An 11,056-nucleotide genomic window follows, 5' to 3' on the forward strand; every position below is an offset into this window, starting at 1 on the left:
AAGGATTTACACTATATATTTGACATTTAATAAAGATTTTCTCACCTCCTCCATTTAACTAAGATGTTGCATTCATGAATCTAATTTATATATGTATGTTGGTTTTTCATAGACTGTAGGAGTATTTTTAACACAGATTGTTGGTAATGTGTGCAGCCAATTTAACAACAATATCATAAGAGTGAGTATAACACAAAGTTGTGGAAAATCATAATTTTATTCCATTATTAAGTAATTGAAAAATAAAAACAAGATCAACAAATATTGGGTACAAATACCATCCAAGACAATAAAATATGTTAAATAAACACTATTTTATTAATAGTATGAAGACTTCTCTGCCTATATTGTTACTGATCATTTCCTCTGTTTACAAATGATCTTATTATTCTAAAATATTGTGGAAACCACATGCTAAGACTCCAATAATCAACTAAAAAGATAAATGGATATTTTCTCATTGTTATCAATCTACATTTGGAAGCCAGTGTTCTTTATTCATAGCAAATACTTCCCTTTCAGTCCAGCATTTTAGTATTTGGGGTTTTAAATCCATCTTATGTGGTACATTTTGGACAGGCCATTTGTAACAATTAAAGATTATTGAGGAGTTGTCAACAAGCATGACTATATTTATATGTGTATTTTTTAAAAAAAAATTATATATATATATCTCCTTAAAAATATTAACCAAGTTAATATTCATCAATCATCTTTGCTAAAGATATGTTTGTGTCACATAAGAAAAGTCATTAAAATTTACAAATTAATTACCCATAACATAAATTTACATTGTGTCCCAGCTGGCATGATAAACAGCATTTTCAACTAATCTCTTACTAATTTTTTTTTTTTTTTAGTATCTGTAATGGTAAGATTTACTAAGTGTTACTGACTTAAAACAGGTCAGTGTTGCCTGCTACTGTATATTTTCTATCACAGTGAGGAAGAATGATCTACAACATAGCAGTCTCCAGAAATCAACGCAGAAGCCTATACATTTCTTCATTGGCTTCTAAAACACAATTAATTTGTTCATATTTTCCTAGCAGCAATTAGCAGCAGGCAAGAGTTTTAATGAAATAAAGTTGTGATTCCCACAGGGACTATTTATAATGCACATTACAAACCAACAAGAGCTTCAAACTATTTACATTAAGAATTGATTAATAACAAAGATATTAAGCTACGTATGAGATTACATATTGTGCCTATTTAAGGGATACTGCTAATTAATTAATCATAATCATTTGCATGTGCCATATCTAATTAACTTTTTATAACTCTTTAAGTTTTTCCTTTAGGACCAATAGCATTCAAGTAGCATTAGCAAAAGGAACATTTAAGCCATTTCTTAGAATATTGTTTTCCAATAAAGTTGATTTCTTTGAAAACACTTAAGGAGTATAATCAGAGTAAGAGGCTTTTCATGCCAATTACCATGAGCTGCACCGCGTTTGCTATTGGGGGAATGAAGTAACATTACATTAGGGTTAAGTAGGACTTTAAAATGTTTTTATGTAAATTAAGTTTAGAAAGTAGCCTTAAAACTTCTGAAAAAGTTTGACACTAGAGTTTCAATGCCCCAAAATATTATACTGATCTGTTTTTTTTTAATCTGTATAATTTAGAGGATGCTTTATTTGCATCCAGGAACATACCTAAAAATTTTTTTATCTTGGATGTAAGTGAAGGTTTAATGAACTTATCTTCTTCAATATCTGCCTTATAAAAAATAGCTTCAAAATAGTTCCAGCTTTACAAATTAATTTGAAAGAGTTATTTCATCACCAAAGAATAGCTTCTAAAATTCACTTAGTTTTTAGCAGCTTTAAAATTTCATAAGTTATTAGTTCTTAAATGTATTAATTATATAATATTTTACACTGAATTACATAATCAGCATAATTTTCACCATAAATTAGTGTTTTGTTCTCTTATAACTGCACTCCTGGATTGAATTGCCTGTAATTTTACTAACAATATACCAAAAATTCAATTATAATACCTGTGACAAGCCATTAAATGTTAACTATGCTCCAAGTACTACGTTATGCCTTATCACAGATCATTATGACTAATGCAAATATTATGTAAAATAAGTTTTGCTGCCATAATTTTGCAGACAAAAAAATCGAGAGTAAAATGTAAGGTAATCAAGTCAAAGTACTAGCAAATGGCAAAGCCAGGATACCAACCGAGATTTGTATAGATCCAAAGGAAATCTTACCATCTACATCAAACGTGGTTAATCGGAGGCTTCTTAGCAGCCATCATTTTCCTATTTATTGAAAAGACTGAAGATTCTTTTGAATACCTTCCTATTAATACCAGATCTTATTATATGAATGTTGTGGCCTACTAAAAATGTCCGTAAAACTGTTTGGCACTCATTTCAAACCTGGCTGGGCTTTATTTTGACCAAGAGAAATAGCAGAAGTCATGCTGTACTAGTTCCTAGCACCATAGCTTATCTTTTGGAATATATCTTTGGAAGTTGAGGGCTGATATACAACAATTCTGGGTACCTCAAGACCAGCATACTGGAAAGGTCATAAGCAGATATGCCATCTGATAGAAGAAAAACAAGCCCATTTACATTTTTAAAAGTTTTGTTGAGCATTCAGTGATTTATTAAGTGATTGGATCAGCATCTGACCAAAAGGGGCTAACACTCTGCTGAGACAGGCAAGAGAGGAAACATTGATACAGTATATTCAGAAGCAAGACAGAAAACAATTTTTATTGGTTAGAGTGGAAAGTGTCTGGTTAGAGGTTCATTGGTCTCTGATTGGTGCAGTTTCTAGTTTCAATTCCGTTTTACATTGGGCTTTGTCTCGTTCATGTAGGAATTTTTTTTTTTTTTTTCGAGACGGAGTCTCTCTCTGTCGCCCAGGCTGGAGTGCAGTGGCGCGATCTCGGCTCACTGCAAGCTCTGCCTCCCGGGTTCACGCCATTCTCCTGCCTCAGCCTCCCAAGTAGCTGGGACTACAGGCGCCTGCCGCCACGCCCTGCTAATTTTTTCTTATTTTTTAGTACAGACGGGGTGTCACCGTGTTAGCCAGGGTGGTCTCGATCTCCTGACCTCGTGATGTGCCCGCCTCGGCCTCCCAAGGTGCTGGGATTACAGGGGTGAGCCACCGCGCCCGGCGTCATGTAGGAATTTAATGTGCCATTGCCACTCCAGTCTAATGGCCTCACAGTTAGAATTTTGTTTTAACACGTATAAAAGTTCCAACTGAGCCCAGGCTTTCCACTAGTAATGCTTCAGAAAATGACTGAAGCTATTTTGGATCCTCTAGACTAGCTCATCTGCATGTTGAATTCCAGCAATTAGTTTCGATCCGAATCAAATGGAGATGAAAAACCACCTTGGCTAAGCTCTGTCCAAATTCTTGACTTACACAATTGTGAGATATGAACTGCACTTGATTTAGCTAAGGAAGGAGATCCTGGACCTGAAGTTTGAGCTGACGCTATAGTAGCATGATACTTTTGAAGGAATCTGACTGGAGCGAGTTTACTTTGTAGGGGAGAGGAGAACTGATTACTCAAAAAATCTAATAAAGGATCTTATTAGGAATTCTTGTTTTTGTCATTCCAGAATGACTCAGCTTTGATATTAGAGCTGTCACCATAGTCCCACAACAACAAAGGGTGAATAAAGATCCACTAGGAAACTTATTTTTATTTTTCATTTCTGTCGATGTGTGTTTGTAATACATCCAAACTCACGGCAAATGCTCACATTTGTGGACTTCAGTTGCAAAATACTCTGAGTTTTGCTGGAGGGTATAGTAAGACAAAAAGAATACAGAGGAAAAAAAATTAAACAAAAATATTTTATCTCATATACAGAGATATATTTTCCACATTTTGTGATGAGCTTCTGCATTTATTTTTAATAATAAGGCAATTTTCATTAAATTATGTCATTCATGCCCAAAATATAGTCACAGACACAGTTTTGAGAAGTAAGTATCTAGAAATAGCTTGTTCTTCATAATTTTGCAGTTCTATTTACATAAGACCTTCAACAAAGAAAATTAATATTTATCATTTGATTTTAATTTCTATATGGAAAACACATTCAGTAATATGCAAGTCCTATTCATTTTAGAACAAAATTAATATTGAATACTTGATATAAAAATATTTTCAGCATTGGAAGTATTTATTCATTTTTAAAGAATATAAAATTTTTTATTGGCATTGCTTTTGCAGACTTACTTTTTAAATTTTATAAGTATAAAATGTGCAAAAAATTAAAAATAAATCTAGGGAAGCTATGAATATTAGAATTTCTATGTGTACTAAAATATATAGAATGTCAGTTGTAATGAGTCAAAGTCAAAGTGATTAAGTACAAATGGTACAAACCATAAAACTGCTCATTATCACTATGCTACTTCCAACCCAAACTTTTCATATCTTTTGATCTGCTTTAAATTTTCTATTTCTATGTAATTTGTGAAATTGTGATTTCTGATTGCTGAATTTCCATTAGATACATATTCAGCACATAATTATTTAATTTTGAAATAATTCTACAAAATATACTAAAATAAGTGGAGACATAATTATCTATGTGTTGAGGGTTGAAAGTCATATTTTCATCAAGTCAAAAGTAAACTGCCTTTGGTAAAACACCTACAGTTACAATAGGTTAGGTGAGTAGGTTTGGCAATTAATTTTTTAAACTTTCTCCTGATATGATGACAGACCATGTTCCTATACAAACTCCAGAAAGAAGAGCTAAACTTAGGGGAAAAAATCTGTTAGAAAATATAATTCTGTAGAAAACAGTAACTGATGAGATTATGTAGATTATCTATGGCAAGCTTTAAGAATTTGTTTTACTACATTTTCTAGAAATACCCAATAATAATTCCCTAGTAGAGAAGCAGATTCGAGGAGACCTATGTTGTCTGTCATTGTTGAAAAATATTTCAGAGGTCATATTGCTATTGTGATGGTGGTTGGTTTTGTTTTGTATAGCATACAATAATTTAAAGATATGTACTTTACACAGGCATTTTGTTTTTAAATAAATTACAAGTGTGTCTTATTTATGGAATAAGTACACTTCTTGAAATTTTCATACTAAACAATTGGATTTTTTCATTTGAAACTTATTTTGGATATTCCAGAAAATATTACTGTTTACATAAATTTTGTTTTATAGATTGGTAATATTTATACACTTATTTTTTACTGAATGTTGTGCTAATGATTCCTTCATTTCCTCTATGCCTTAAATTTCTAGTTTCAGGAACATTTTTAGAGTATTAATCTCCATCTCATTTTATGTCATTCTTTTGATGTGCCTTAAGCTCTGGAAGCTAAAGCAATACATTTTTAGTGAGTTGATCCATAGCCTAGTTATCAACTTGTGAATAATAAGTTAGGCACTTGTATCACTCTCCATTATTTTCCTTAGGTATTTCAATCAGCCCTACATGCTGATGACTCCCAAATCAGATTTCCAACTCCTATTTCCCTCCTGATATTCAGACTTTTATTTACAACTGGCTCCTATACATCTTCACTGGAATGTCTTAAAGCAACCTCAAATTTAACATACTCAATATCAAACTCATTTTGTCACCCACATACTACGTCTTGCTCTACTTTTACATGTTCTCTTTCTCTCCATGCCCACCAAGAGTGATTTAGTTTATTTTATAAGCATTTCTTCCTGACTAGCTGACAGCCTTTTATCTTACTGCCCCAGTTGATTCTTAATTGCCATTAAAGTTGTATACTTGTACACCACACCCTTTAGTCACCATTGAATAACTGTTGTTCCTAAGCAAGCTTGTGTCTCTAAGGATACATAACTCTTTGGAATGTCTAGTCATTTTTCCTTCCAGGGAATGCCTAAGCATCATTTAATATTCAACTTATGTTTAATATCAGTGCAGCATCCCTAAAAGAGGGCAAAATTACTTACTTATTCCATGGTATTCTTAGAAGATTTAATAAATGTCATCTGTAAAATGCATTTCACATTTAGACAGTTTCAAAAGCAAAGCTTATTTTCACTATAGCTATTACAAATATGGACTTTCAAATCAAACAAATTTGGGTGTAAATCATGACTGTCTCATGTGCTTGCCCTTTGGAAAGGTATTTAACATTTCTGAACACTTTAGTTTTCTGCTGTTCTATACTAATGGTATCTATCTAAAAGACTATTTTTAGAATTAAATAAGATAAAATGTATAAACAGCAAAGATAGTGTCCATCAGCAAGTAAGGGCTCAAAATTGATTCCATGAATTGTATTATAATTATTTTTGTTTTATATAAACCTTCTAAAGAAATACACTATTTTCTGCTATTGACTATGTCACAATTTGAAGCACATTGCTTGACATGTAATATGAGACACTATAAATCTATGTTCAATGAGTAACCATCATGGAGCTTGGACTATAAATTTAAAAGTGTTAGTTGCAACTCATCGATAGAAACACACTTTTTCATAATAACTTGAAAACATTGAGTGGTGTGTTTTAATGTTATTCCTACTACAAATAGGAAAAATGAAATTTTGAAAGCCTTCTTAAGTCATGATTGAATGTATGAATTTTATATCTATACAGAGTGCTATTAATAAAAATATTTTGGAAAGCAAGAATTCTCACGTAAAGTAGAAGAAAAATTCCCCATCTCTGAGTTGAATATGGTAAAATATTTTTCAAGAATTAGTCATTTTTCTTCTAGAAATGCCTACAATATTATATTTTGGCATTTCAACAAATTTGCTGTCCACAAAATACACCTATAACTTCTGTAGAAGAAATAGAACAAAACATTTTTAGAAGATTGTTATTGCATTGACTTTGGTTACATGTTTTATCTAAAATAGCTGTTTTTAAACTGTAGCACTGTGGCTGAACTGTAAATTACCTTGTTCTTCTATGAGAAAATCCCACCATTTTATTCATAATTCATTTCTTTATGCAAGCTAAAGGGAAACCTTGGGATATAATAGAATTGCCTTAGAGAAAATTTATAGTATATGTGTGTAGTTGATCAATATCCTACAGGTACAGCACTGTGAAAGACATCATTTTAGTTCTTCAGGTGTGAATAGTGTCCCATGGGTGGGGCAATACACATAAAAATGAGAGATATTTTTATTAATGGTATGATTTTTTTACACTTTGAAGTAACAATATAAAATAGTATTTGTTTAGATGCTGGCATATGTTGGACAGAACAACTTACTGTGAAAGTATAGGGAATCAGAAAGTACCAGTTTCAAGAAACAGTTTAAATTCTATTATTTCAGATGATCCACTCTACAGTTTGTCTGAGTCAACAGGGGATGGCTTTTATAACACTGTGGAGTGAAGGAGAAGTTTTAAGGTAGCCTTTTTGCATTATATGAGGATGTCATACCTATTATTAGAGAACATATCAATTCATTGTTAGAAAATTATAATCATTGTCACCATAGTCATCATCATCATCATCATAATGGGAGCACTTATATTCCACTTTACTCCTCTGGGCATTGTATAATTAGGTTAAAAGTTAAACATTATTGGCGAATGTACATTCTAGACTTTAATCTCTACATTGAAAGATATTCAATGGTGATCTACTTATCTATCCATCTATCTGTATTTTTATTTTTTAATTGAGCAATCTATGTTCAGGTATTTTATGATAAAAAGAATTATATCAATCTAAGGGACAAACACATAAAAAATTTTAATCAGATGTTCTGGAGGTAATACAATGAACTTATTACTATGTAAGTGATAAGATTTACAATCCCACTTTTATGATGTCTGTGTCTGATTTACATAATAGACTATTAAAGAGGTTTGGGCCACACTGAACAATACGAAAGCCATTAGTCCACAAGTGGCTATTGAGCATTTGAAATTGCATGGTCTGATTTATAATGTGCAGTAAGTGTATGCACACTGGATTTTGTAACCTAGTGCAAAAAATAGAATGTAAATATGCTCCTAATAATTGCATATTGATTACTTATTAAAATGATAAGACTTGGCTAAATGATTAAAATAAACATACTAAAAGTAATTAGGCTGAGGTGGGTGGATCACGAGGCCAGGAGATAGAGACCATCCTGAGTAACACGGTGAAACCCGGTCTCTACTAAAAATACAAAAAATTAGCCGGGCGTGGTGGCGGGCTCCTGTAGTACCAGCTACTCGGGAGGCTGAGGCAGGAGAATGGCGTGAACCTGGGAGGTGGAGCTTGCAGTGAGCCGAGATCGCGCCACTGCACTCCGGCCTGGGCGACAGAGAAAGACGCTGTCTCAAAAAAAAAAAAAGTAATTTTACATTTTTTAAAACTTAGTTTGACTGCTGGAAAATTTAGGTCTGTACGTTACTCACATTACATTTATACTGAGCAACTTTAAGTTAAAATGTTTGAAATTCACGTAGATAGGGGCAGGTAAATTTCAAAGAAAATGGAGGAGAATTGGTAAAAGACATATTAAATTAAATCTATGCCTTTAAATGATATCCACTGTGTGAAAGCTACCTTAAGATTAGACCTAATGGAGTTATTTGATACTGTTATTTGCGATAAAGTAGAAATGACAGGCACATTTAACAGGAGAAACTGTTTCAAATAAAGCCATGTATCCAGGCTGTGGAATTCTCCCTTGTGCTAACATACTGCTTTTGTGTACAAGTTTCCAAACTTATTTGGAAAACCGAGCTTCTAAAATAAATAAGCATTCTTTATGGCCAAATTATGTTGATAAATTGATTGTAGAATTCATTAATATTCTGCCTCTATAAAGTGTCAGGAAATGAGATACAGATTAAGAACAGATGAATAGTGAGAACTGTTATCTTTGTTTTTCACAAATTCTTTATTTCCAGGCTATTTTCCCGTATCTGTTTATATATGTGGTTGTAATGAGAATTTATGACATATTGAGTGTTCTGTTTCTAATTTTCAAGCTATATCACATATTTTCATATGCAGACTTAAGACATATATTGCATATTGCATTGTCAGTTGTTTGTAGCAGGATGAAATTAGCCATATTAATTCATTTTGTTGGCCCCAAGTAAAATTGTATATGTTCTTATTTCTGTACTTTTCATTTCTTACTTAAAAATTTTAAACTAAATAATAAAAACCTAAAATTTTTCATAATACAGAATTCTAAAAATACTTCTTTAAAAATTATTGTATTTTATCAGATTGAACACAATAGCATTTACAATGTAACATACTATACAGTCATTAAAGATTATAAACCGTGCAAATATTTATTATTCAATTATCAAGAATATGATTGTTATCAGTAGAACAACAAGTTATGAATTAAGAGTTTTAAAAAATAATTTGTTGGCATATCTAGAATTTATCAAATTAGCTACTTCAACTATTAGAGCATATCACATGCCTGTCTTTTTTTTTTTTTCTTTTGAGACAGGGTCTGACTCTGTCACTAAGGCTGAGGTGCAGTGGCATGATCTCGGCTCATTGCAACCTCTACCTCCCAGGCTAAAGTGATGCTCCCACCTCGGCCTCTCAAGTAGCTGGGACTACAGGTGTGCACCACCACATGGGGCTAATTTTTGTATTTTTTGTAGAGACCGGGTTTTGTCATTTTGCCGAGGCTGATCTTTAACTGCTGAGCTCAAATAATTGGCCCACCTTGGCCTCCCAAATTGCTGGGATTACAGGCGTGAGCCACCACACTTGCTCCCACATGCCAATCTTAAGTCACACGATCACTGTTTTATCCAGCTAAGTAGGTGAAAAAAAGAAACATTGTAAGGCATTTTAAGGGAAACAAATTGCAGTGAACTTTCTCATCTAAGGCATATCCTAGATAAAAATTGTAAAATAAACAAACGTGTTTTCTTTAAACCTCTTTTGATCTCTTGTAGAAAATCTTCATCTAAAAGGATTCTCAGCTTTGGTTGCACATTGCAACCTACTGGGAAGGACTAACACAGAAAGCCCCCTTGAGATGAGGCTTTACCTGAGATGAATTCAGTTAACATCTGATAAGGAAGGGGAGCAAACATCTGTATTGTTCAAAAGTCCCCTAGGTGGTTTTAATGCGGAACCAGCTAGAGAATCCCTAATAAAGTCAACCAGAAGTCTCATATGCCCTCTCATTTTCTCGCTATCCTGTTACTGAAACCTAAATTCTCTTCATTTGGAACACGACATAATCTGCACTTTGCCTTACTGATTTCTCACTGCTAAATGTCACTCCTAATTTGTTCTATATTTTCAAAGCCTCATTAAATTATTGGCCTGCTAATTACATATCTCAATTCATGATAAAGCGCTAATGGTTGAAAGTGATTTAATGTGTGATTAATGTGTGCTAATTAGAATTAGCAAATTCTAATTAATGAATTTGCTTTATAACCTACTATTTAACACACCTAAAGCATGAATGGTGAATAAAATAGGAATTTTAGTTCTAATAGACCTATATAGAAATACCTTAACTCTGCTGGGGCATTGAGCATTCCTTAAGTAGTTCTACATAAGAATGGTTTTAATAGGAGCTAGCTATCCTGTTTCCATTATTAACACAAAACCATGAAGAAATGGAAGATGGCAATGCTAGAAAAGTCAGACATACTACATGATAATAGGTTAAATAAATGCTATTCAGTTCATTAAGTTGATAGAATTATGCATTCACAAAAAAAAGACCCCTGAATTTGGATAAATGTATAGAAAATGTCACTCCCATGAAAGAAAAATTAATTATAAAAATAAATGAAATGAATGTTTTTTACAGAATTTTCTTAAAGGTATTCCATTATACAAAGTAGAATTTTATGATGCCAATTTAACTGTCATTAGAAAGACTATATTTTAAAAGTTAACTAATACATGTCAGGAAGAATGATTGTCTCTTTTCAGGGGAATTGTTGATAAATGATATAATGACAGAGGTTTTTGCTCACAGCTAAGAATGATTAGAAAAGGAGGTTTGGATATAATTAACTTAATAGTATGTTTCTCCTAGTGCTAAGGAGAGGTTGGCCATTAACTGTATTCTAATATATATATAGAAA

The sequence above is a fragment of the Homo sapiens genome, chromosome 1 (assembly GCF_000001405.40).
Source record: "Homo sapiens chromosome 1, GRCh38.p14 Primary Assembly".
Classification (NCBI taxonomy): Eukaryota; Metazoa; Chordata; class Mammalia; order Primates; family Hominidae; genus Homo; species Homo sapiens.